The sequence below is a fragment of the Homo sapiens genome, chromosome 6 (genome assembly GCF_000001405.40).
Source record: "Homo sapiens chromosome 6, GRCh38.p14 Primary Assembly".
Taxonomy (NCBI): domain Eukaryota; kingdom Metazoa; phylum Chordata; class Mammalia; order Primates; family Hominidae; genus Homo; species Homo sapiens.
The window spans coordinates 5,988,357-6,011,370 of record NC_000006.12 but is presented as its reverse complement, the minus strand read 5'-3'; the positions used below and the strand labels follow the sequence as shown (position 1 = coordinate 6,011,370).

The following is a 23,014-nucleotide window of genomic DNA, read 5'->3' as shown; positions in this document are numbered from 1 at the left end:
TAATTCACAGACTTCACTGAAATTTTACTGGCTGTTCCAACAACATCTCTGTCTTTTCTTGTCTAGAATCTTATCCAGGAATACAGGTTGCATTTAGTTGTCATGCCTCTTCCAGTTGTTTCAGTGTGAGTGGGGACCACATAGGCATTCCCTTTGTCATAAGTCAATGAATTGTGCATGCTTGTTTTGTGCATTGTTCCGTGTGTATATTTCATGATAAAAACGTTGATTTGTTTTAAATAAAGTGTTTATTTTTAAGATGGAAGTTAATCACACTTCTACATTTCAAATTTAGCATTTGCTCCTAGATTTCAAATTACTGCATTCAAATCAAGTTCAATTTTTAAATTTTTTTTTTTTTTTTTTTTTTTGAGACAGAGTATTGCTGTGTTCCTCAGGCTGGAGTGCAATGGCATGACCTCAGCTCACTGCAACCTCTGCCTCCAGGGTTCAAGTGATTCTCCCGTCTCAGCCTCCCAAGTAGCTGGGATTACAGGCGCCTACCACCATGCCCGGCTAATTTTTGTATTTTTTGTAGAGATGTTGACCAGTCTGGTCTTGAACTCCTTACCTCAGGTGATCCTCCTGCCTCGGCCTCCCAAAGTGCTGGGATTACAGGTGTGAGCCACCGCGCCCGGCCAGCAAGGCCTTGAAGTTTCAACTAATTTTGTAAAGAGTCTCAAGATCAGAGAGTGAAAAAAATCACCTTACCAAGCCACAGATGCAAGGGTAGACCCAGGCCTCCCGAAGTAGATTTTTACTGGGGCCTCTACCAATGTATATACCTCCACAAAAATCTCCTTCCTCTCGTAATCTATATGATTGTTTAAATACAGTATAGTTATCATTTTAATGAAAAGTTATGTAATATAAATTCACATTTTTATTAAAGGTTTTAGCTGAAGATATTTAAATGACTGACTAAATTTATGAGAGAGATGTATTGCTAGACCAATCTATTCTAATAGAGCAGCGATTTTTTCTGACCTAGAATACAAAGATGGGATTTCCTAGTGGCCTTGACAACTGCTCTTGCAAATAATTTCAAAGGGTTGTTTGTCGAGGTGGCAGCTTCTGGAAAGCCGACCTATGATGGATTCATAGCAGGAGCTGGGGAATCAACTGGCATACTGCTCATCCAGACTAGGGCTGTAGCGCCATGAAACGAGAAAGGAAGTTGGTGCCCACCAGGCTTAAAATTAGACATAGTCTCTTTCTGGCCGTTCTAGGGATAAGGAATTTTGCATATTTATTACCTTAATTATGCAGACTTACTTTTGGGAGTTACTTTGGCTCAATTCAACATGCAGACCCAAACAGCACCTGTGACTTTTTCCCTCTCCTGAACTGTATTTGTTTCTTTAAACAAAATTGCTTATCAAAAAGAAATACGTTCTTTGCAAGAAGTTGGCTTATAAAAAGCACTCTTGCACGGATTTTATTCTTCGGATTGTGCGTTTCCACTCCTAATCCCATTCACAGAATTCTAGAAAATCCTCAGTTCACAAAATTTCAAAGGTGAAAACAGCTTTGGAAATTACTTCATAGTCCACTCTCCTTCATTTTCCAAAGTGTGGGGGTCAGCCTGTGAGCTGGGTTTCCCTGCCCCTGTTCACTGCTCTTCCCACTGCATCTTCAACCCCAAGTATGATGTGAGATGAGCTTTTCACATTAATAAAAGAGGGAACGTTCTCCAAAGCCACCTCCAACCATGGATGCTACCGTTCCCAGACAGCATGCATTGACAACCATGAAATGCAATATCCTTTAATTAAAGAACTACGAAGAATCAACCCTGCATGGAGCCTGGACTGCAGAACGACCTGTAATTTAAAAGATGAGAATTTTTCAAAAAATAAAATGTCATGTGCATCTATCTACCCAGAAAATCATTTATGTAGAGTACCAACTCTGTTTGCCTCTCTCTTCTTCACTTTTAAAAAGACTCAGGCCTATGAGGGAGGTTGGGACGCCTGGGGAGGAAAATGAAGAGAGGAAAAAGTCAGCGGGGGTTCCCTCCCGGGGTAGGGCGGTGAGGCGCAGCCACGTCCCAAGGGCAAGAACCGGATCGGCCCGGGGCGCGGCGCGGGCGGCTGTGCGCACGCGCGTGGGTTCACCCGCTTCATTGAGGCCCTCAGCCCTGCCTACTCCACATCCCCAGCGCCCCACGCTCAGAGTTACAGGGGAGGGGTTGGAGAGGATCCCAGAAAATGATGCTGTGAAGATCCCAGGTGGATAAGCAGGAGGAAGGCAAGGACGTTGAGGGCAAAAAACCTTAAGCCACTCCCAAGCCTGGGCTCTGCACGAGTCTGAGCGAGGTTGGGGGCCCGCAGCTGGTGGCCTGGTCCGGGAAAGCTGGGCCGGCCCCACGCGGAACCCCGAGCGAGGGGCGGAGCCGTGGGCCGGGCCGCGTGGCAACCCCCCTGAGGCCCCGCCCCTCGGAAAGCCTCCCGCCCTGCCATTGGAAGACGTCGGGGGAGGGTCCGAGAAACGCCCCCCTCTCGCCACCAGCCCCCGCCCCACCCCTTGTCCGCCCACGTTTTCGGTTCTTCCCGGAGCCTCCGAGCTCGGGGAAAGGAAACACCCGGGGCCGCCACCGTGCCCCTGGACACCGGAAGGCGAGCCCCCAACCGCCCCGCCCGCAGGCCGGTGACATAACCAGGGGCGGGGAGACATGACTCCGCCCCCAGGGCCAGGAAGGCTGCATGGGAGTCTGAGGCTCCCGCGGGACGTGAGTTAGGGGCCGCACATTGCAGACACCTCACGTCACCAAGTGCTGCAGTAGGACCCCCGCAGCTTCCCCTCGGCCCCCTACCCTCCACAGCCTGTCCTACCCCCGTTATTTTGCACCTTTCTCCCCCTTTGTCTATGCATCTCCAAATATCTGAGTATGGGGACGGCAAGATTGGCCCTAGAGGGCAAGCTGCCTGTAGAAGCAAATTCAACGCTTCTCCTTAATCCGTGTGCATTTCTACAGTTTGACAGCTTGACGTCCTCTAGTGTAGTTTGGCAAAATTTGGGGGGTCGTTTTCATTTTTTTCTCTCCACAGGCTTAAGGATTAAAGCTGGCCAATGCCTTCTTTAGCATTTTATTAAAGACGCTACAATTTAGACTTTTTTTTTTTCTGTTTGGTGCAGAAGAAAGGAAGAAAACCAGAGCTTAAAGGCGTTTAGAAAGGAAATAGCCCTGTTAGTTTTTCGGTTTTGACTCAAGCTGTCGTCGATAGCAGCTTGCACCTAGCACAAAGCCAGCTGCAGAAGTATTTTGTTGCAGGGTAGGCTACACCTACACAGGGTCTGTGCCTGAGCATCAAAAGACAGTGCAGGTGTGTGTGGGTCCGGGTGTGCGTGTGCGTACGTGATGTACGTGTGTGCGTGTGGGTACGTGTGTGTGTAGCCCAACAAATAAGCCCAAGAGGCGCATCAAGATTAGAAAGAAGTCCGCACACCAGCGCTTGCCTTGGAAATTTCCTAAAGCGCTGAGAGTTGGTTGGTAAATCACTAGTATCCGAAAACTGTCTTATCAGAGGCTCCTTCCCCGGTGCCCTACTCGCCCCCTAAAACAGGTGTCGCTGTGTCCCTTGAAGCGGCCTTTGGCCCGCTGGGGCATCGCAGGTGGGTAAAATTCAGAGGACATTCGGTGTTTATTTCTGGGGCCCCACGTGTGCAAACCAAACCCCCGGGGCCTGGGCGTGTGCGCGCGCTCGCGTGCCTTGTGTGCGGGCGGGCATGGGGGCGCTCGGCGCGGCTGGCGGGCGTGCGCGCGCGCGTTTGTGTGTGTGTGTGTGTGTGTGTGTGTGTGTGCTCGTGCGGGGGGCCGGGCTGCGTGCTCACGCGCTCCAGGCTGCGCCCAGAGCTCAGCTGCTGGGTTGGAGAAAAAGAGGGTAGGCAAGCGCAGGGGGCGGGCGGCCGAGGAGCGCTTTCGAATTAATCGAGCTAGCTTAGCTGTTTTTCCCTCTCCCGCTCCTTTAAACCCCCCTGCATCGTAGAGAGCGGGCTGGATTCTCTGTGGTGCTGATGGAGGAGGGGGAGCAGGTTGAAACAATCGAGTGGGCGCGCCAGGACTCCCCAGCTCCTGGCGGGGAAGGGAGGGGGAGCCCCTGTTCTGCGCAGGGAGGCGGCGGGGCTGGGGGGCCCCCGGAACGAGGAAGAGGCAGGGGTGACCGCTAGAATAGGAAAGTGCTCACCCCCGGGAGGCAAAATTTCGTTCAGATCGCACATTAATTGGAGATATCTGATTAATTCCAGCTTCTGATGACTATAAATGGCGATTCTCTACCAAGGTGTCTATATTAAAAAAAAAATCATTCCGTGTCATCCCCCACGTCAGGCCTGCTCGTGGGCGTGAGGCTGTACTTCCTCCGCCCCCTTCTAATGGAGTGAACCATTCCCAGCTCTCCCCCCCCCCTCAGCCTCTCTCTCTCTCTCTCTTTCTCTCTCTCTCTCTCTTTCTGTCTCTTCCTCGCTCCCTCTCTTTCTCTCCTCCCTCTGCCTTCCCAGTGCATAAAGTCTCTGTCGCTCCCGGAACTTGTTGGCAATGCCTATTTTTTGGCTTTCCCCCGCGTTCTCTAAACTAACTATTTAAAGGTCTGCGGTCGCAAATGGTTTGACTAAACGTAGGATGGGACTTAAGTTGAACGGCAGATATATTTCACTGATCCTCGCGGTGCAAATAGGTAAGTGGCCGCTCAGCCCGGCTGGAGGCTGGAGGCGGGAGGCAGCCTGCCCCGGCCCGAGGCGCGGAGGGGGACTAGCGGGTCCGCGGCCGCCCCAGGGTGCGGAGAAGCCGGCAATCCCCCGAGGGTGGGGGCATCAGTTCCTGGGGACTAGCGCGTCCCAGATCGGTTTTTCCTAAAGCTATAGATTCCAAATGTTCGCCAGGAAATGTGTGCGGCCGGACATTTTCTGGACACGGTTTTTTTCCCCCTTTTTCCTGAGCACACATCCATTTTTGTTTCCCTTTCTGGGTTTATACCAGGTTTGGTGCGCTCTGGGGCAATGTACTGGCCCCTGCGATACTGCAAGATATGATTTTGAAGAGTCGAAATGTGAATGCAGGAATAAAATGGCTAGGCAGCCAGGACTGGAAAGTTTATGTGCTGAAAGCAAAGATATTCCAGGGCTCAGACTGCTGCATTTAGAACTTTGTCATTCTCCCGCCCCTCCTCCCCCCTATATCCTAGCTGCAGCGTTTGCACGGGCACCGCAGACCCGGCTGGTGGGCAAATCGAGAGTGATAGGGAACTTCAGACCACATATTTTAACATGCTTACCATTGAAGAGGATGAATTCAGCCAAATTTACGTAGATATACTTTTCTAGATGCATTTGCCTGCTACTTTACACATTGGTGTCTGCATTTTATATATAGGAAAGGGTTAAGAAGTGTTTGGAATATGTCATGTCGGGTGTTTGTTATTTTTGTTTGTTTGGGATTGGTTATGGAAGGAATTATTTAGTCCCCATTTTATGTTAAGGAATGTTGAGTTGTAGTTACGCTGTCAGGGGTCTTTTTAAAGTTCACATTTTTACCATCCAGAATGAAGAAAAGATATAGAAGAGGGCACTAGAAAACCCCCTTCTCCGACACTGGGTCAGAACATTAATTAACGTGGCCTAAAAGTGAAAGTGAAGCAGGTTATTAATAGAATGGACAACACGGGGGAAAAAAGAAACTCCTGAAACGGAATTGTTACCTCCTATCAGTTCAGGCTGTGGCATTCTTTGCAGACAAATCCTTGCAGTATTGGGGGAGGGGGTGCTTTAGGTAATTGGTTTGGGGCAAGAAAGGAGAATGCATAATATGTTTTTTCCATAAGAAATGTGAAGGAAACAAGGTTTGGAGTTCTCTAGACCTTAAAATGGATTCTTTGCAGTGGGGTTTTATGCAACTGACATGATTTTGAGATTTTATAATGCAGAAACATTATAAAGATTTTAGAGTGTGTGAGTGCAGGATATTGGTGTTTTCCTTTAGTTCCAAAAAATGACAATGCTTTAAATCTGGTTGTTTTGAATCTTTGACATTAGTGAAAAGAGCTGCTGTAAATAATATTTCTAATGGCAGCAAATTCCTTAAATGTTGGAAATAAGTGAATGTGGCATTTTGCAATAAACCTTTGAATTTTTAGAGAGCAGGAGAGAGAGTTGTTTTTGAGATAGAAATTTTAATCGGACAAGATTTGGGACTCTGTTTTCCCGGTAGGAAATAACCTTACTTTGAGAGGTTTGGAGGGAAAAAAAAGACGGTGGTCGTGCCTGAGGGACGCGTTTTGAACACATTAACCTCGGTCCAAAAATGACTATTTGTTGACTGTGGAATTGAAATTGAACGTATTTGTTCCCTAATGTCTGCCCTTTCCTGCAACAGAACCTCGGTCTTTATTAATTCACGGCTGGGAGCTGTCCCAAATCATTGACATTTGGCAAGAAAAGTGGGGGTTGGGAGGGGCGGGGAGGTAGAAGAGTGTGGTGAACACGAAAGAAGACGCAGCAGGAGGAAGTTCGGAATGAATGAGAGGTCGAACGAATGAATGAACGGATGGAAACCGCACAAGAAGGGGACGGCAGAGAGGACAGGGAAGGAGCCAGGGTCACCCGCTAGAGTCTCGCCTAAGCGGGGTTCAGGAAGGACAGCGAGGGACCCACGGGCTGCGACCTGCTGGGACGCGTGCGCCTGCAAAATCCGTCCCGCGCGCAGCCTCCCGGCCTCCCAGAGAAGGCTAGAGTCCAAGGAGTCACAGTTTTAAAAGACAGAAATGTTCACGACTTATTTTACACAGCACACACTCACACATGCGCGGTGTGCAGGGTCTTCTCCAGCAGCGCCTGGGAAGATAACGTGACAAGAGCGCTCCCGCCCCCGGCGAGCCCCAATTCCCCTTAAAAAATGTCAATGCATTTTAGGGGCTTCTTTCGCCACTGAGTTTTGGGGGTGTAGGCAAGGGGTGGGGAGAGACGTGGACGGGGAGATTGGACTTTATTTTATTTCGTTTCTTCTCTGCAAAGCTGTATTTGTGACATGCGTTATAGAGGAAGATGTGTGGAGTGTATTTCCATTTTGAACGAGCTCTATCAGAACAAAGATTCGTTTATTCTTAAGATTTTACGTCAGTGTTCGATTTGTTAGTATTGTAGTCGCAAGGGTATTTAATGTTCGCTGTAAGGTGAACTCGGAGGTTTGAGAAGGTTTACGTATCTGCCCCAGCGGAGGTCGAAGTTAACCTCGGTCCCTTCCCCAGTGCTTCCCGTTCCGGATTAAAAAGCGCAAGGCCCGCCTCGCTCTTCCTGCAGCAATTTGCAAACGGGTACGCTCTCGGAAGCTGCTACGGGTTCGGTCACCTTCCTCTTCGGCGTCTGGCCCGGCGCTCGCGGACAGGCGCCCGCGTTGGGGGCCGGGGGATTGAGGTGTCCGGTCCTCCCGGGACACATTCACACACAAGCGCAGCCGCCAGAAAGCTGCCGAGGACCAGGCCGGCGCCCAGGGTCGTGGGCGCCAGTGCGGATTTCGATTCTGAGATTCACCCTTTCTTCCCCGCCCTAACGCTGTGCTTCTCTGGCGCCCTCCCGGCGCCCGGGCTGCTTTGGGCCGCTAGGCACTCAGCTTCCAGCCGGGTTCGTCGGCCTCAGGGCGGAAAGAGATGGCCACAGCCGCGCGCCCGCAGCCTGGTACCTGTCCTTCCAGTCCCGCGCCTCGGGGTTTGGCCGTCCAGAGGCCGGGGGCTTGGGGGCTTGGGGCTTGGACCTTCGTGCGGCCTGTGTTTCCTCCTCCTCCTCCTCCTCCCGCCGCTCAGCTTTTATCCCTGCCTGCTCTCTGCAGGGAGTCCTGAGCTGGGGCCAGGAGCCCCGGGCCGCGGCGAGCTCACTTTCAGCAGCAGGGCTGGCACCTGGAGAAGAACAGCCTCTCCCCGCTGCCGTCCGGAGTGTAGGCGGGCTTTTTGGCGGGCGGGTGGGTTGTTAAGGGTGTCTGGGGAGCCGAGTGGCGGACAGGGGAGGAGGAGAGAAAGAGGCCCGAGGTTCGTGGATTTGGCCTTTGCGGAGGTGACCCAGGCAGACTCATCCGTGACCCCGCCCGGCCTCTGGCCTTCTCCTCTCCAGACCACTCATCATCCGCGCCAGGTCTCAGGACGTCCAGGCTGCCCTCTTTCCAGCGGGGCGGGAGAGGGTGCATCCGAGGGTCTCACTCGGAATACAGAGTCCACGGTAGGCAATCGGTTTTATAATGAAACAATCCATTTCGGTAACTGCTGGTGGCTTCCAGGGACTATATTCGTTCATTCATTCAGCAGTGTTTGCTGAGCGCCCACCAAGGACAGAGCGCCAAGCCTGAGGCTTATTCTCGTGATGTGGCGTTGGGTTCAGCTGCGTGACCCCACGCCCTGTCGTCTCCCCACCCCGTTCTCGCCCCCGCACGCTGCAGCCGAGACCCCTTCTGTCACCTCAAAATGGAAGATCGCATTGCGAGAGCTGTGACAGGGCTTGCTGGGGAAGTGTTGGGAGACGAAGGAGGGAGCGAGGAGAAAGAGAAATAAAAGGGATGAGGGAGGTGAGAAGAGGGGGCGATGGAAACAGAAAAAGATACGGAGCGAGATGCGGGAGGGAGCTGGAGGAAAGGAATGGACTCACCTACCTCCCACCCACCCACACCTGCTCACACACCGACAATTTGCACTAGACGCAGCGTTAGCTGCAGGTCGGGCATTCCTGGGTCACGTCTTTCATTCACCTTTAACACTGGCGAGCCCCGAGGCTGGGCGCTGGGAGAGGCCGCCCGATGCGATGAGGCCGCGCGGAGCCAGGGTCTCGCAGGAAAGGGCAGTGGGCGGCAGGGCGGGGTCGTGGCGCTGCTGACCGGTGTTCCCTCCTCCCCGCAGCGTATCTGGTGCAGGCCGTGAGAGCAGCGGGCAAGTGCGATGCGGTCTTCAAGGGCTTTTCGGACTGTTTGCTCAAGCTGGGCGACAGCATGGCCAACTACCCGCAGGGCCTGGACGACAAGACGAACATCAAGACCGTGTGCACGTAAGTGTCCTCTCTGGCCGGCTGGACTTCGGTTTTGGGGGCGCTACTGAGGTCGGAGAGTGCCGAGCCTCCCCGCCTGCGCTCAGCGTTCAGCGCCAGCGCGAATCCGCATCGGCTCACTCTTGCCTTCTGGCTCCAACCCCCAGGCCTAGGACCAGGCCCCCGGGTTAGAACCTGCGCTTCCCAAGGGGATCCCACAGCCCGGGGTGGGATATGGAGGAGGATCCTTCAATATAGACCCAGTCCCAGCTCTACGCGGCCTCTCAGGCTTGCACAGAGGTGCGCATGCTCGACATGCTGGGAGCCAGGGCAAGGGGCATGAAGGATTGCTACAAAATCTTGGTGCTGCAAGATCTCTCTGCCTTGTAGCAATCTTGATCATTCTTTGCTCTTGCGTGAACGAGTGACCTGCCAGGTGTTCTCTGAAGAACAGTTAGTTTGGATTTGAGGAGTGTTTGGGGTAATACTACATTTGCCTAAAGGGAAAGTCACTCCTCTCTTCTGTCCATTTCTCGTGACAAAACGCCCCTCTAATACACACCAAGGAAATGCCGGCACAGGCAAGGAGATACAGGTCTCCCTTCCTGTTTTCTAGGAGACAGGCCGAAACGCTATCTTATTGTGTGCCAGTGACTTTACCCAAAAAGAGTGAGTCCAGGTGGTGGTCCAGTGATAGTCGCTTTGAGTTTACAGCAGATTCCGAGATTTGGAATAGGCACTCTCCTTGTTTCCCTTGCCCCCTCGCACATCTGTAAGGCGTCCCCAGACCTGGACAGCTTCAAAGGTAAAGAGAGATGGGTAGTAGTTCATAGCCAGGTCCAGTGGTGATTTCTCAGAGCTTGGCTAGAAAGCACTGCTCCCACGAGCAATAAGGTAACCAGCAGAGCCCTACTGCAGTGGACCTGCAGCAATCTAGCTGCTGCAGACCTTAGAAAACACCCCTGTCCTCTGCAACACCCATTCTTTTATTTTGCAAAAAACAGCTGTGTTCCCCCACCCCCAAAATAACTGTTTCAAAACAGCCAAGGCAGGTTGTGCCCCTTATTCCCTGAGGTTAGAGTGACCATTTTCTGTGGCATCATTTGTATACTGTGAAGTCTTTCCTCACTCCCCAACTGGGGCAAAGGGGACTGGTGGAAGGACGGGTGTTTGTTTAGGTTTTGCTAAATTAAATGGTGTCAATTTTGCTACTCTATTTCCTAAACGCCCCAGTGCCTACTAGGAGCCATAGCAGCTAAATGGCTAGTGCTTTCCTATCATGAAAGGGACAAAGTCATTTAATTCTAAAAGTCTCGTGATGGATAAGAATGTATATCTATAAGGATAACAAAAGGTTGCATATAGAGCAGCTCCCAAATCCTCTGTCATTTGGTGGAACTTGTTTATTCCAAGCTATTTTAATTTTAAGCAGAACTTCAGTCTTGGAAAACAGGAAAGTGAGAACTCCTTCCTGAGGTCACAGGCCACGGCTAGGTCCAGGCCCTACTCATTTGGGGGAGCTGTTTGCTCAACACGGAGCTGAAGCCCACTTCTGCCCAGCCCCAGGTGGAGTCTATCCTTCTCTACCAGGTCCCTCAGAACTCTGCCCTCATCTGGGCGTACATAAAAAAAAAAAAAAAAAAAAAAAAAAGAGCAATTTAGGCATCCTTTAGCAGGGGCAATTCCACAGACAGTCTGCAGGAAAGCTGTCCTCCCTGGGCCTCCTAATGTCCAAATGTTGCTGTTTATTACAAGTTGAGGAACCTGGAAGCTCTGTGTCCCTCCAGTACTCATAAATTAACACAGTGCCTGCCTTCAATGTGCTTACAGTCCAGGCCAGCCAGCAGAAGGAAGAGAGAGGAGAAAATACAACCAAACCATGTAGAAGGCAGGTGCCTGTGACCTGGTGCTCAAGGCCCGGGGCAGGTGGGGACCAGCCCGGAGTTACAGAGAGGCGCAGACCGACCCAGCTCTGAAAGGAGACAGCGCCCCAGGAATCGATCACGGGTTGGGATTATATTTAGTCTCAGGATCTATTTTGGGTTTTCAGAAGAAAGGGGGACAGTCAAAAGGGACAGGTTGGATGAAGGTTGTGGGGGTGGGTCTAGGAGCTGAGCCTGGGAGGAGGAAGTGGTTGAGTTAGGCGCCAGGCTCCGTGAACTGACCGCAAGAGGAGGACAGAGGGTGGGGAGTCCTCGAAGGTTGGCAGAGGTGGGCACCACGCCTTCCCCGCAGTTCCGGCCTTGGAGGCTGGCGCTACATCCTGAAAGCTGTGGGGAGGAAGCCCCATGGGGCCCAAGCCCACGGAAAAGACTGGGGAGGGAGAAACAGGAGGGACCCAACGCGCAGGCCTGGGACACTTGGATTCGCAAGAGCAGATGAAGGCTACGAGGCCGGCCCCAGGTGCTCGGCCACTAACACTCACCGACCCCGGGGAGAAGAGAGGCAGGCAGGAGTCTCCAGGCCGAATCTGAGCCGGGAACTGTGGAGAGCAAGGAGGATCCAGGCAGGTTGTGGGAAGGAGGAAGAGGAAGTGGGGAACAGAAGAGAGGAAAGCAGACGGAACGGAAAAAGAAAGAAAGGGAAATTCAGGAGAACGGAAAACAAAAGGAAGAGGTAGTAGGTGGAGGGAGAGAATGAGGGCGAAGGCGAGAGTACCGCGGCGTGGAGAAGGAGGGAGACAGAAGGGGCGAGGGGGAGGAGAATGTAAGAAGCCCCGAGGGGAGGGCCGTGCTCAGAGCTAGTAACCCATCTTGCAAGCTAAGAGGCATTAATGGGCGGCAGCTTGCGAGGCTTAGCACTGTTTTCCTAGCTTTCCCCGAGGAGGGCGAGCAATCTGTTTGCGGAGGCCGAGGTGCCAGCGCGCCACAGCGGGTGCACGGCCCGGCTCCCGGCTGCCTAGTCCTCTCCCGGCAACTGGAAGGGAAAACCAGACAGGAGGGGGCGCCCCCCCACCCCCGCTTTAGACAGCCGCTTCTGGGGTAGGCGGAGGTCCCGCGAGTCCCGACCTCGCGCAGGCCAGGCGCCAGGGCGGTGAAGAGAAGGTAGGGAGGGGACACCCCGGGAAGTTGGCGGGGCCGCCAGCGGGGAGGCGCAGGGGCGCAAGCCCGGGGTGTTCCCGGCGTCCCAAGTGAACCTGCTTGTTCTGTTTTGTTCTGTTCCTCACCAGATACTGGGAGGATTTCCACAGCTGCACGGTCACAGCCCTTACGGATTGCCAGGAAGGGGCGAAAGATATGTGGGATAAACTGAGAAAAGAATCCAAAAACCTCAACATCCAAGGCAGCTTATTCGAACTCTGCGGCAGCGGCAACGGGGCGGCGGGGTCCCTGCTCCCGGCGTTCCCGGTGCTCCTGGTGTCTCTCTCGGCAGCTTTAGCGACCTGGCTTTCCTTCTGAGCGTGGGGCCAGCTCCCCCCGCGCGCCCACCCACACTCACTCCATGCTCCCGGAAATCGAGAGGAAGATCCATTAGTTCTTTGGGGACGTTGTGATTCTCTGTGATGCTGAAAACACTCATATAGGATTGTGGGAAATCCTGATTCTCTTTTTTATTTCGTTTGATTTCTTGTGTTTTATTTGCCAAATGTTACCAATCAGTGAGCAAGCAAGCACAGCCAAAATCGGACCTCAGCTTTAGTCCGTCTTCACACACAAATAAGAAAACGGCAAACCCACCCCATTTTTTAATTTTATTATTATTAATTTTTTTTGTTGGCAAAAGAATCTCAGGAACGGCCCTGGGCCACCTACTATATTAATCATGCTAGTAACATGAAAAATGATGGGCTCCTCCTAATAGGAAGGCGAGGAGAGGAGAAGGCCAGGGGAATGAATTCAAGAGAGATGTCCACGGACGAAACATACGGTGAATAATTCACGCTCACGTCGTTCTTCCACAGTATCTTGTTTTGATCATTTCCACTGCACATTTCTCCTCAAGAAAAGCGAAAGGACAGACTGTTGGCTTTGTGTTTGGAGGATAGGAGGGAGAGAGGGAAGGGGCTGAGGAAATCTCTGGGGTAAGAGTAAAGGCTTCCAGAAGACATGCTGCTATGGTCACTGAGGGGTTAGCTTTATCTGCTGTTGTTGATGCATCCGTCCAAGTTCACTGCCTTTATTTTCCCTCCTCCCTCTTGTTTTAGCTGTTACACACACAGTAATACCTGAATATCCAACGGTATAGATCACAAGGGGGGGATGTTAAATGTTAATCTAAAATATAGCTAAAAAAAGATTTTGACATAAAAGAGCCTTGATTTTAAAAAAAAAAGAGAGAGAGATGTAATTTAAAAAGTTTATTATAAATTAAATTCAGCAAAAAAAGATTTGCTACAAAGTATAGAGAAGTATAAAATAAAAGTTATTGTTTGAAATGGGGGTGTCGTTTGTTTCCTACCCCAACCTGCTTTCTTGACCCAGTTCTCAGGGAACCTGAAGGGACACAGGATGCCGGTGATAAGCTCACCTCTTCAGGAAGCCGCTTCAAGCAGACCTGCCACCTTCAAGCAGACCCTCCTCACTTAAGCCACTTGGCCACTTCCCCGAAACCGTGCTTCCTTAAAAAAGAGAAAATGAAAGTTGTTTTTAAATTAATTACAAAGCAGAGATTCTTTCTGTTTGAGATTTAGAGGAACTGGGCTTGCTCGCACAGGCAGACAATGCCAGTGGCCGGCCGTCTGCCCCCGCCTCAGGCGGGCCGGAGCCCTAACCACGATCCTCGCAGGCTCGGCCTAACCACGATTCGCCTCTTCCTGTGCGGTGGCCAGAGGCAGCTTGCGAAGGAACCGCCATTAAGGGCTCCAGCAGAGGGGCCGAGAGGCTGTGTTCCCTGGCAGGGATCAGGTGAATCCTTTCATAATTAATAAGACAGCTCAGCTGAAATGGCGAGGAGACGGGCCCTATTGATCTGGCAGTGGGGCTGATTCCACCTCTCCTATTTATAGGCCCCGCATGGCCTTAAAGAGAAGTAAACATTCCGGAGTAAATGGGCAGAGGCGACCCGGGTCCGGGGACTGCAGGCCTGGAGTAGGCGGGGGAGAAAGAACTGCATGCAGGTCTCTGGGTTCAGAGAAATCGAAATCTGATTTCTTGGAGAAGGTGGCTGTGGGAGGAAGCTGCGGGGGCCCCGGGGGGGGGGGACGGGGGAAGGGAGGAGGATGGAGAGAGACCAAGGGGGCTGCAGCAGGTTCCCGCACGAAGCCCGCCGCCCGCTGCGGGGAGGGTGGGCCCGGGCTCTGAAATGCAATGTGTAAACAATTGCTAGTGTAACAGTTCATAAATCAAACCCAGTGAGTCGCAGCCCAATCTGCATTCCCCCCACGGATTGAATTCCAGCAACACATGCGTCCCTGCGCCCGGAGCGCTGGAAGCTGCACGGATTCTTAATGGCAGCATATATTACGGCCGCGCGTTCACGCACGCGCCGCTCGGGGCCACTCCGGGGAATCGTTTCGCCCGCTAACTCCCACCCAGTCCCCTCCTCCCGACGGAGGTCTCAGTCAAAACCCGGGTTCTCAGTCAAAACCAAAGCAGATCCGCGCTACCTGCGCGGGGTGGTCACCCACCAGCAAACGCTCGGGGTTTTGGAAAATAGTTGCATTTTGTTGGTTTCGTTTCAATGGTTATTTTCGGTCTGCGTATAAATAGGATGATTCTAACTGGAGTTCAACCCCTGGAATTCAAATTAGAATGTCTGTGCCTATCTTAAATACGAATCTATTTAACAAGGAGGAGAACCAGGATAAAGAGGGAGGGTCTTCTCCATTTTTGCCATCGTAGCACGCCGCCTCCTATCAGTATCTTTTCCTCTACATATTGGGGGCAAACAAGTGCTCACAACTAAGCCCATTGCTTGTCAAAATAAAAGGCAGGCGCCCTTCTGCTCCGACTGTGGAGAGAAGGGAAACCCCCCCACGACCCACAGAGGACGCCCCTCCCCTAGCAGCGCGGGCTTCCTACTCGGAAATCAATGTCCTGGAAGATCTAGGAAGAGGCAGGCTAAGGGCGGGGCAGAAGGGGCGAGGGGGCGGGGACTGGGAGCGCGGGCTGGTCTGCTCTCCTAACAGGGTTCTTCTCTAGGAACCCCTGGCTCCTACTGCTGTTCCAACTGCTTCCCAGACGGGGCCGCCCTAGAGGAAGGGCGCCCTCTCCCCTCTCTCAGCCCCTCCACGCGCTTCCAAGCCCCCACGCCACGGAGTCCCAGATCGCCCTGGGAATCTCCAAACCTTATCGTCCTGTCTGGGGCTCCCTTGTCTGTCCCAAGCCGAGGACCACGCTCACGTGAGCACGGAGATATCCCTGGGAACGCAGGGCCGCGAGTCTTGGAAACGCAGGCTTCCGCAACTGGAGCGTTAGAGAACGTTTCTTCTTGTGGTGATTGTTTAGATTATTATCGCGCCGTCTTCGGCTATAATTTGCCGTTTAATCATGATGACATCTCCATATGTTGGTTGATGTTACCGGTTTTAAGCAGCAAAGCTGCTAGCCTCGTTGGCAGTTCAGGGAGATGACATTAACCAGGGCGAGCATGCCCCACTGATGAGATGGTGGGAGTATTGGGAGTGGGACGGAGTGGGCTTCAGGCACAGAGGACATCGTCATACCTACCTCCTCCCCACGTCGGAGTAGCCTCTCCGTATCTTCCCACAGCCCGTGGCTCTTCAAGTGGCCCACTCAGGCTGGCTTCGAGCCTTTGAGGAGCTGTTGGGATTAGAGAAGGACCTCCTTTATCACATCCTCTGTCCTAGTAAGTTCAAGACAAGGTAGTTCACTTGAGTACCGTGTCTGACAATCCTTATTATGAACATGTCAGGCCAGTTCCAGAGCCCTGCCTGGGCCCGAGGAACTCCAGGGCCCGTGGGAAAGGAAATCGGACGGAGGGAGGAAACTGGCACGAGAAAAAGGACTCGAGCGTGGAAAATGGGGGACACGGGGAGAAACGAGGGGGAAAAAGATCCGGAAGTAGGGTTAGAAGGGAAGAAAGGTGGGCGATCACCTGAAACACAAAAGGAGATGATGGAGAAGCTTGGAGACGCAGATAGAGCTCTGGGCAAGAGCTAAGGGACAAAGATGACCTTGGGACTTATTTTCATTCAGAACCCCCAGAGAAGAAAAGGCGCACAAGAACCTTGACACAAATTCTCCTTCTGCGGACGCAGAGATCTTTCCACTGTAATCAGTACCCCCAGAGGGCCAGGGCCGCCGGGAACCTGGCGTCTTGGTGCTGGACGGACCGAGGCAGGAGCGCCAGCCCCGAGCCTTCTCCCGGAGCCCACCCCAGGAAATCCGATGAGTCAGCCAAAGATGGAGCCAGAGATTTCCCCCTTGCCGAATTCTCCCTCAAATATCAGGAAGGTATTCAACCATTATCTCCCCGCCACCCCCACTTTTCCCTACAATACACGAGCTCTAGCTTTCACGCTGGCCGTCCATCCTCTGGAGCTGTCTACCGCCCCGACCCAGGGGCACGCGAGGGAAGGATCCCTAGCCACTCAGAACACCTACCAGGGGAAATCAAAGCGTTGGTCTCCTCCCCATCACCGCCCCCCGCTCCCCTCCCAGACGTGAAAACGAAGTGGTGAGCTGGGGGTGGGGGGTAGGAACGGAAAGGAGCGGCTGAGGACGCCAGCTTAGGGCTCCGGAAGACACCGCACCCCCCACCCCGCCCACACCTCCACACCCGGTCCCAAATCATCGTACCTCCCTAGGCTAAGGAGTCTAGCAACTTTGTAATCTTGTAGCTTGTGGTTCCCCCACCAACCCCTCCACTACCCAAGAGAAGAACAGTGTAGAGAAAGCACCCCCTGCAGGGCCCTTTTGGAGGTTAACTCTTGGGCAGCCTCGGCCCCCAAACCCGAATGCCGGCGGGAGAAGAGTTAGCCCAAACCCTGCCCAGCCCCAGGAGAGGAACCTCAGCTTGGCCCCACCGAACTCCGGCCATCCCGGCAGGCGCACGGAGAAGGCCCTTTCTCCCCACTCCACCCCCACCGGGTGAGGGGAGGAGAGTGTAACATTTGCGCCCAGAGTTGCGCCCTGGAAGGACGCAGCCTTTAGTGTGGCTTCCAAGAGCCAGGACTTCGGAGCCGGAACACTCCTGTTCCCACCTGCATGACCATGGGCGGGATACTGAACCCCGCTATACCTCAGTTTCCTCCTCTGTAAAATAACGATAATAATACTTACCTCATAGGATTGTACCTTGTATCAAATGAGACAGTATAGGTAAAGCTCTTTCGGACAACATGCCAGTTACCTCGTGCTAGGTAGTACTAATTTAATTTCCTCAGGTGGATCTCACCGAATTCTTCAAAATAACCTTGAGAACCTCATTCTTTTAATATTTTGGGAGCAGTTATTCTTTATGGTAAAGCGTTTTAAATTCCTCTTACTGCAGGCTACTACCCAGTGATCCATCATCCTCTCTGGCCTTCTCAAAGGATGTTCTAGATAAGCTCCTTGAGTTCAAATAGCCAGGTCGCTCAACAATGTGTGCACCCCCAGACTCTACTCCACCCCATCCCCCTCAGTGCCCAGGCCAGACCCCTGGCTTTTGCTTTCTGCAAACCCCCAACTAGAGTGGCCAGGTTCTCCCAGCATGGGATTTCTCCTGTATCTTCCTTGACAACTTCTCTTCCCTGCCCCCGCTCACTCCCACCATTTATCTTAAATTCCTCTCCCAACATTGAAAAATGTAATGAAGTTATTGTAAACAATGAAGCAATTCAAGAGTACAGAGAGGGAAGAAAACATCCTCCCTCCACTAATAAATGGTAGCAGGTTGACGTGTGTTCTTCCATGCCTTTCCCCGTGCTGTTACACACATATACACACATACATATATGGAGGTTGGCTTTGGGTTTCGCTTTGTTTCATTTCTGCAAAATTGTAATATGTATTTCTCTGCAACCAAATTCCTCAAGAGCAATAGTTAAATATCTCCTTTTAAATGGTGACATAATTCCTTCTATTGATGAATATTTAAGTTTTTCAAGGTTTTTTGTACTGTATAAGTATTGTGTTCATAAATATTCCTGTTCAAACAACGTTATGTACTAGTATTTTAATTTCTTCAATACAATAGGCTTGATCAAAGTTGGATTGCTGGGCAGAAAGGTATGTATGTGTGCTTTTCATTTGAGAAGATGTTTGTTTACTTTCCCAAAGGATGTAGAGATTCCCTGCATCCTTATCAACACTGTATGCTAACACTTTTTGCCTTTTTTGTCAACCCAGTAAGTAACCTTGCTGCTCTGGAAGGTCAGGCTTTCCCACCATCTGCATTAGATTCCTTGGGTCCCTCCCAGGCCCTGATCACCACCAGAGTGTCCTCCTGCACTGGTGGGGAAGGGTCAGCTGGACTTTGGGTTCCCCTCCCCAGGAGCAGTGGCAAGGGCTTCGCAGGGAGTGACTTTTGTGCAAAGTCAGGCATAACTAGTCCTGGAAGACCCTGGCTCTCACTGGCTAATCTAATCAAAATGCCTCGGGGAGTTTAGGGCTTGGACCGTGCTGGGCTGGCTCAGTGAGTGATTGTGAACTGGCAGAGGTGGGGCTCAGCTGCATGTCTCCCCACTGCTCCTGCAGTTTCCATTCGGGACACTCAGCCTGAGCCAGCTCTGCACCGAGGCTGCGATCCCCCGGCCTGTCTGCAGTGGAGGGCCAGCGATGGAAGGAGGCAGCAAAGGAAAAGAAAACAGCAACCACAGAACAAGGGCGGCAAAGATGACAGCTGAACTTTTCTTTTCCTCTCCCACCCACCCAGAGAGTCTGAGAGGCTTCTGTGAGCAGGATCCAACCCATGGAGAGCGACAAGGAAGGCTGAACCATCTAGGGGGATTCAGGGTACAGAGATCTAGATTGCACTGTCTCTTCTCTCTCATCACTCCCACCCCACCACATTTACTCTAACTTTTTAAAAACTTTAACTTTCATTGAGCACTTACTACATGCTAGGTGTTACGGTGAAGCTTTACAAACATCATCCCATCTCCTTCACAATTTCTGTAAGAGGATTGTATTATCCCCATTTTACAGATGATGAGCTGAGGTTTGGAGAGAGGTTAGTAACTTGCCTAAGACCAGCAAGGAGCAAGAGCGAGAGCTGACCTTTGAATGCTAACCTGTTTGGGGAACCTGCCTTAAGAGATCACTTCGCTTTGCTTGTTCTATTACTATTTTGAGGCAAAGAAACACAAAGAAAAAACACAACAAATAAATTTAAGTCCTGTGGTAAGCAGAAAAACGTCCTTGCAAAAATGTCTGTGACTCAATCCCTGGAACCCGTAAATGTGTTAGTTAATGTGGTAAAAAGAGAATTAAGGTTGCAGGTGGAATTAGACTGCTAAATCGGCTGCCTTTAAAATAGGGAGTTTATCCTGGATTATCCCTAGAGGCCAATGTAATAACAAAGGTCTTTAAAAGTGGAAGAGGAAAAAAGAAGAGGTCAGAGTCATGTGATGGGAAGATTCAACCCACCCTTGCTGGCTTTGAAGATAGAGGAAGAGGCCAGAAACCAAGGAATTTGGGCAGCCTCTAGAAACTAGAAAAAAAAAAAAAAAGAAAACTGATTCCTCCCTAGTGTCTTCAGAAAGAAATGCGCCCCAGTGATTTTAGCCCAGTAACCAATGTCAGACTTCTGACCTTCAGAACTAATGGCAAGATAATAAAATCCTATTATTTAAGCCATCAAATTTGTGGAAATTTGTTAAAACTGCAAATAGAAAACTAGTACAAGTCATTATTTGCACTGTACCAGTTTAGTTAAGGGAACACATCACACCAGTGAGGCCTGAGGGTTCAGGATGTATGTGTACTAGGGATTTCTCAGGGCCCTTCTTTGTCCATGTGTGCATTCAGAGGAGACAGCAGCTTCATTTCAACGTGGGGTGATGGTGTTTGTGAGAAAAAGAAGACATTGTAGAATTAATTTCTAAGGACAAAAAACAAAACAAAACAAAACAAAAACCTTGTGTTGATTTTTCACAATGTCTCGTCATAGAATCTTTTTTTGTTATTTTTTCCCCTATGTTGTGCCCTTTTTAGCTGTAAGACCTTCCTGTTTTCTTTCTTTCCCTCCAGTAATTTAATGGACATGCAGTTCTATTAAAGGAGTTATTGGTTTCTGTAACCATCACAGGCCTGCCCAGATATGAAAAGTTCATTGTCACAGTGATAGATGACTTGAGATACATTCATGAAAAATCTATCACCAGGTAGTTATTCTCTCGATAAATCACGGCGACTAATATTAGCTACATACCTCATCACCTGGACAAATCACATGTTGAATTGCTTTTAATGGGGGTTGCATTTCCAACTTTTACATTTCCCAGGACACAGAAGGAATGGGTTCAGTCTCTATGGAATGCCTAGAATGAATCCCTTGCTGTGGATGTGGTAAGAAGGGAGAAACACAGGAAGACACCAAACCAGACAAACCTCAGGCAGCCACTGCCTTTCACATCGAGAGACACTCCTTAAAATAGTCCAAGTCCCTAGTAAAGAGGAGAAGGGAGAAAAGGACATGTTTGTCCATCCTTGATTTGTTAATCAAGTCACAAATTGCTTTGTTTACATTAAGACACCACCATGGGAGTCTCTTCTTGATTAAGAAAGAAGCAACACCAAACAAGCAAGCTTGTGGGGATGCCAGGCTGGATAATTAACTTCAGCGCGCCTTCCTGACCCGGTTGCCACAGACTGCAGTGCCTGGGCCTGCCTCAATCTTTCCATTTCCTGGGAGGGTCAGCTGAGCTTCAGCAAGTGACTATAAAAAATGGCTTTCATAGTCCTCAAAGTCCTCTGCTTGTCTCCTCAGGGTGTCACCTGAAACAAGTTGGATTGCGCTCTCACTGAGGCAGGGAGAGAAATCCCAAGCAAAGTGGGTCATTTAACTCTGGCCAAACACAAATTCTTCAAAACAGGCAACTTTGAAGGGGATAAGGAACATCAAAGCACATGGGAGGCACATCCATCAATCCCTGTCCAGAGACATGATGGTCCAGCCATGTGGCAGCCAGGTCTCCCAGAGGCTTGTATACTCTCAGCCGGCCTGGCAGTCATGTTGGTATCACGCACACCTTCCACCTGTTGCACTGCACCCTTTGTGCAGCGTGTTTTCCTGTGTAACCATTCTTCTCCCATCCTCTTGTAATATTTTCTGCTCTTTGGAACATAACATGGGGAAAACTGCATTTCCTCACTTGCTTTGTTTATTGGGGTTGTGGTATATTGTTTCCTATTTCTGAATAGCCCTTGGACACTTTTGTAGATGGCAGAGAAAAATGCCTCCAATTCTGCCCAAATCTTTATCTTCAGGAGTCACTATAAATTCAAATCCAAAATGTGCTCATGTGTACACATTTATACAGATGTTCATATATTCTCTAATTTAGATATTTTCTGGGACACAGATACATACACACACACACATACACACTGCATTTGCAAACCTGACCTTATTCCTTCTGATTGGCTCTTGGACCTCATCTTTTATCTTTTCCATTGGTTTTGACATTTTGTGTTTCATTCTCCACATGCTCCTTCCCCTGAGCTTACAAACACACTCAAATCTCTTATAGCCTAAAAAAAAAAAAAAGGCCTTCCCTGTCCATCCTTTTACTGCACGCAGCTGTTTCTCCATTTCTCAGCCATTTCACAAATACATGATTGTAAGTTCCTAGAACAGTGCCCAGCCCAAGGCAAACACTCAGCAGATATTGGGAGACTATATGAATGAAATCCTCTCCTTCCCCTTTTTGCCAGCTTCCTCCTGGCTGGCCTCCAGCCTGTGGCCTCCAGAGCCAGGTTCCTCCTTACCAATGGCAGACACTCCACTCTCATTGGCCTCCTCCTTTTCCCCCATGTGTATCTTACCCTTTAAACACTATTTTATGTATTCTATTTTTAAATTTTCACCACATGTCCACATTCACTATGGGAAAATTAGAAACTGCAGGTGACTCAAAGGGGAAAAATGTAAAATAGTCATAATTTCTTCAACCAGAGACACACATTTTGGTCTCAGTGTCTCTGGTATTAATTCTCCCATTTCCACATGGGTGTGAAAATGTCGTTTCCCTCCTTTAAGAACCTTCATTTCCTTCCCATTGCTGAATCATTGCTGAGTGACTCTGACTCCCTGCGTGACACCGAAGATTCACCAGGATCTGGTCCCATCTCATCTTGCCAGCCTTCTCCCCAACCACAGCCCTCTATGTTTCCCACGCACGTGCTACAGCCGTACTGACTTCCTTCTTGCTCCTTCAACCTATGCAACCCCTCCTCTATTCGATGCCTTTGCTTATTTAGTTCTTCCAGGCTAAAATGTATTGCACTTCCACCCCAGCGCCTCCCATCCACCCTTGCATGTCCTATTCCTTCAAGATCCTTCTCAGGCTCAACCTTGCATGAACACTTCCCTGATCCCCTGGTCAGAATTATTGGGATGGCCCTCAATAACCTCTTGTTGTTCTTAATTTTGTATCCCAATTAGAGAACTGCTGATCCGTTTTGTCTTTAAACCATACGTTCCTTGAGGTCAGGGACTATGTCTCACCCATCTTTGAACCTCCCACAGTATCTGGCACTGTGCCTGGCACAGATGATTATTGAGTAAAGAACATTTCCAGTCCTTACCACCTCACACATATGTAGTTGCATGTTCTAACTTTAAAATAAATAAAGGTGTTGCTAATGCCAACACTTCTCTGGGCTACTTCTTGCTAATGCCTTTTCTCCCTCAGAAACTCCTCCTAGGCAGCATGCGTGTGTATTCCTGGTGAGTAGAGGCATAAAATTGTTGGCTGCATGTCATGGAGTACCTACCAATGGTTAGAAACAAAGGAACAGACACATCCATGGCAATGCAGATAAGAGAGAATGAAAAAATGGTGGCTAAAACAAAAGGGAAAGAGAAAAGAAGCAACTGAATACATCCTGTTTATGCCTTTCAGAACAACTAGCTCAACATTTCATTAGCTTGTTATATTTTTTCACGGGCTACAGGGAAACCTGAAGGA

General features: G+C 50.4%; 1 protein-coding gene and 1 long non-coding RNA gene across 6 annotated transcripts, besides 6 other annotated features; one reads left to right on the top strand and one right to left on the bottom strand.

The window, feature by feature from the left end:
* Positions 2,396–2,515: a silencer, noted in NCBI's record as "silent region_16878". NCBI's record gives its function as "represses an Ori minimal core promoter by ATAC-STARR-seq in GM12878 lymphoblastoid cells {active_cell/tissue: GM12878}" and the evidence as "EXISTENCE:reporter gene assay evidence [ECO:0000049][PMID:35858748]".
* NRN1 (neuritin 1) lies at positions 3,853–13,372 on the top strand. 5 transcript variants are annotated; one of them, XM_006715106.4, is made up of 5 exons: positions 7,346–7,668; positions 7,820–7,924; positions 8,098–8,202; positions 8,874–9,018; positions 12,167–13,372. In XM_006715106.4, the coding sequence occupies exons 1-5, from the start codon at positions 7,641–7,643 to the stop codon at positions 12,393–12,395; spliced, it is 612 nt and encodes a 203-aa protein (XP_006715169.1). In that variant the 5' UTR covers positions 7,346–7,640; the 3' UTR covers positions 12,396–13,372. The 5 variants fall into 5 exon arrangements, with proteins under 5 accessions (NP_001265639.1, NP_057672.1, XP_006715169.1 ...); NM_001278710.2 differs by lacking the exons at positions 7,346–7,668; positions 7,820–7,924; positions 8,098–8,202 and adding exons at positions 3,853–3,884; positions 4,588–4,676; NM_001278711.2 differs by lacking the exon at positions 7,820–7,924.
* Positions 6,982–7,806: an enhancer, noted in NCBI's record as "H3K27ac-H3K4me1 hESC enhancer chr6:6003798-6004622 (GRCh37/hg19 assembly coordinates)". NCBI's record gives its function as "activates a minimal SCP1, AML or CMV promoter by ChIP-STARR-seq in naive H9 embryonic stem cells {active_cell/tissue: H9 hESC(naive)}" and the evidence as "EXISTENCE:reporter gene assay evidence [ECO:0000049][PMID:30033119]".
* Positions 10,851–11,756: an enhancer, noted in NCBI's record as "H3K27ac-H3K4me1 hESC enhancer chr6:5999848-6000753 (GRCh37/hg19 assembly coordinates)". NCBI's record gives its function as "activates a minimal SCP1, AML or CMV promoter by ChIP-STARR-seq in naive and primed H9 embryonic stem cells {active_cell/tissue: H9 hESC(naive and primed)}" and the evidence as "EXISTENCE:reporter gene assay evidence [ECO:0000049][PMID:30033119]".
* Positions 11,757–12,663: an enhancer, noted in NCBI's record as "H3K27ac-H3K4me1 hESC enhancer chr6:5998941-5999847 (GRCh37/hg19 assembly coordinates)". NCBI's record gives its function as "activates a minimal SCP1, AML or CMV promoter by ChIP-STARR-seq in naive and primed H9 embryonic stem cells {active_cell/tissue: H9 hESC(naive and primed)}" and the evidence as "EXISTENCE:reporter gene assay evidence [ECO:0000049][PMID:30033119]".
* Positions 11,757–13,520: a biological region, named in NCBI's record as "CDK7 strongly-dependent group 2 enhancer GRCh37_chr6:5998084-5999283".
* Positions 12,321–13,520: an enhancer, noted in NCBI's record as "CDK7 strongly-dependent group 2 enhancer chr6:5998084-5999283 (GRCh37/hg19 assembly coordinates)". NCBI's record gives its function as "activates an origin of replication core promoter dependent on BRD2, BRD4, P300/CBP, MED14 and CDK7 cofactors, with strong dependence on CDK7, by STARR-seq in HCT116 cells {active_cell/tissue: HCT116}" and the evidence as "EXISTENCE:reporter gene assay evidence [ECO:0000049][PMID:35650434]".
* LOC105374898 (uncharacterized) lies at positions 13,280–20,485 on the bottom strand. Its single transcript, XR_926413.4, has 2 exons — positions 15,606–20,485; positions 13,280–13,555 (listed from the first exon to the last, which is right to left on the bottom strand). It is a non-coding gene; the product is annotated as an uncharacterized LOC105374898 (long non-coding RNA).
* Positions 20,486–23,014: the final 2,529 nt, after the last annotated feature.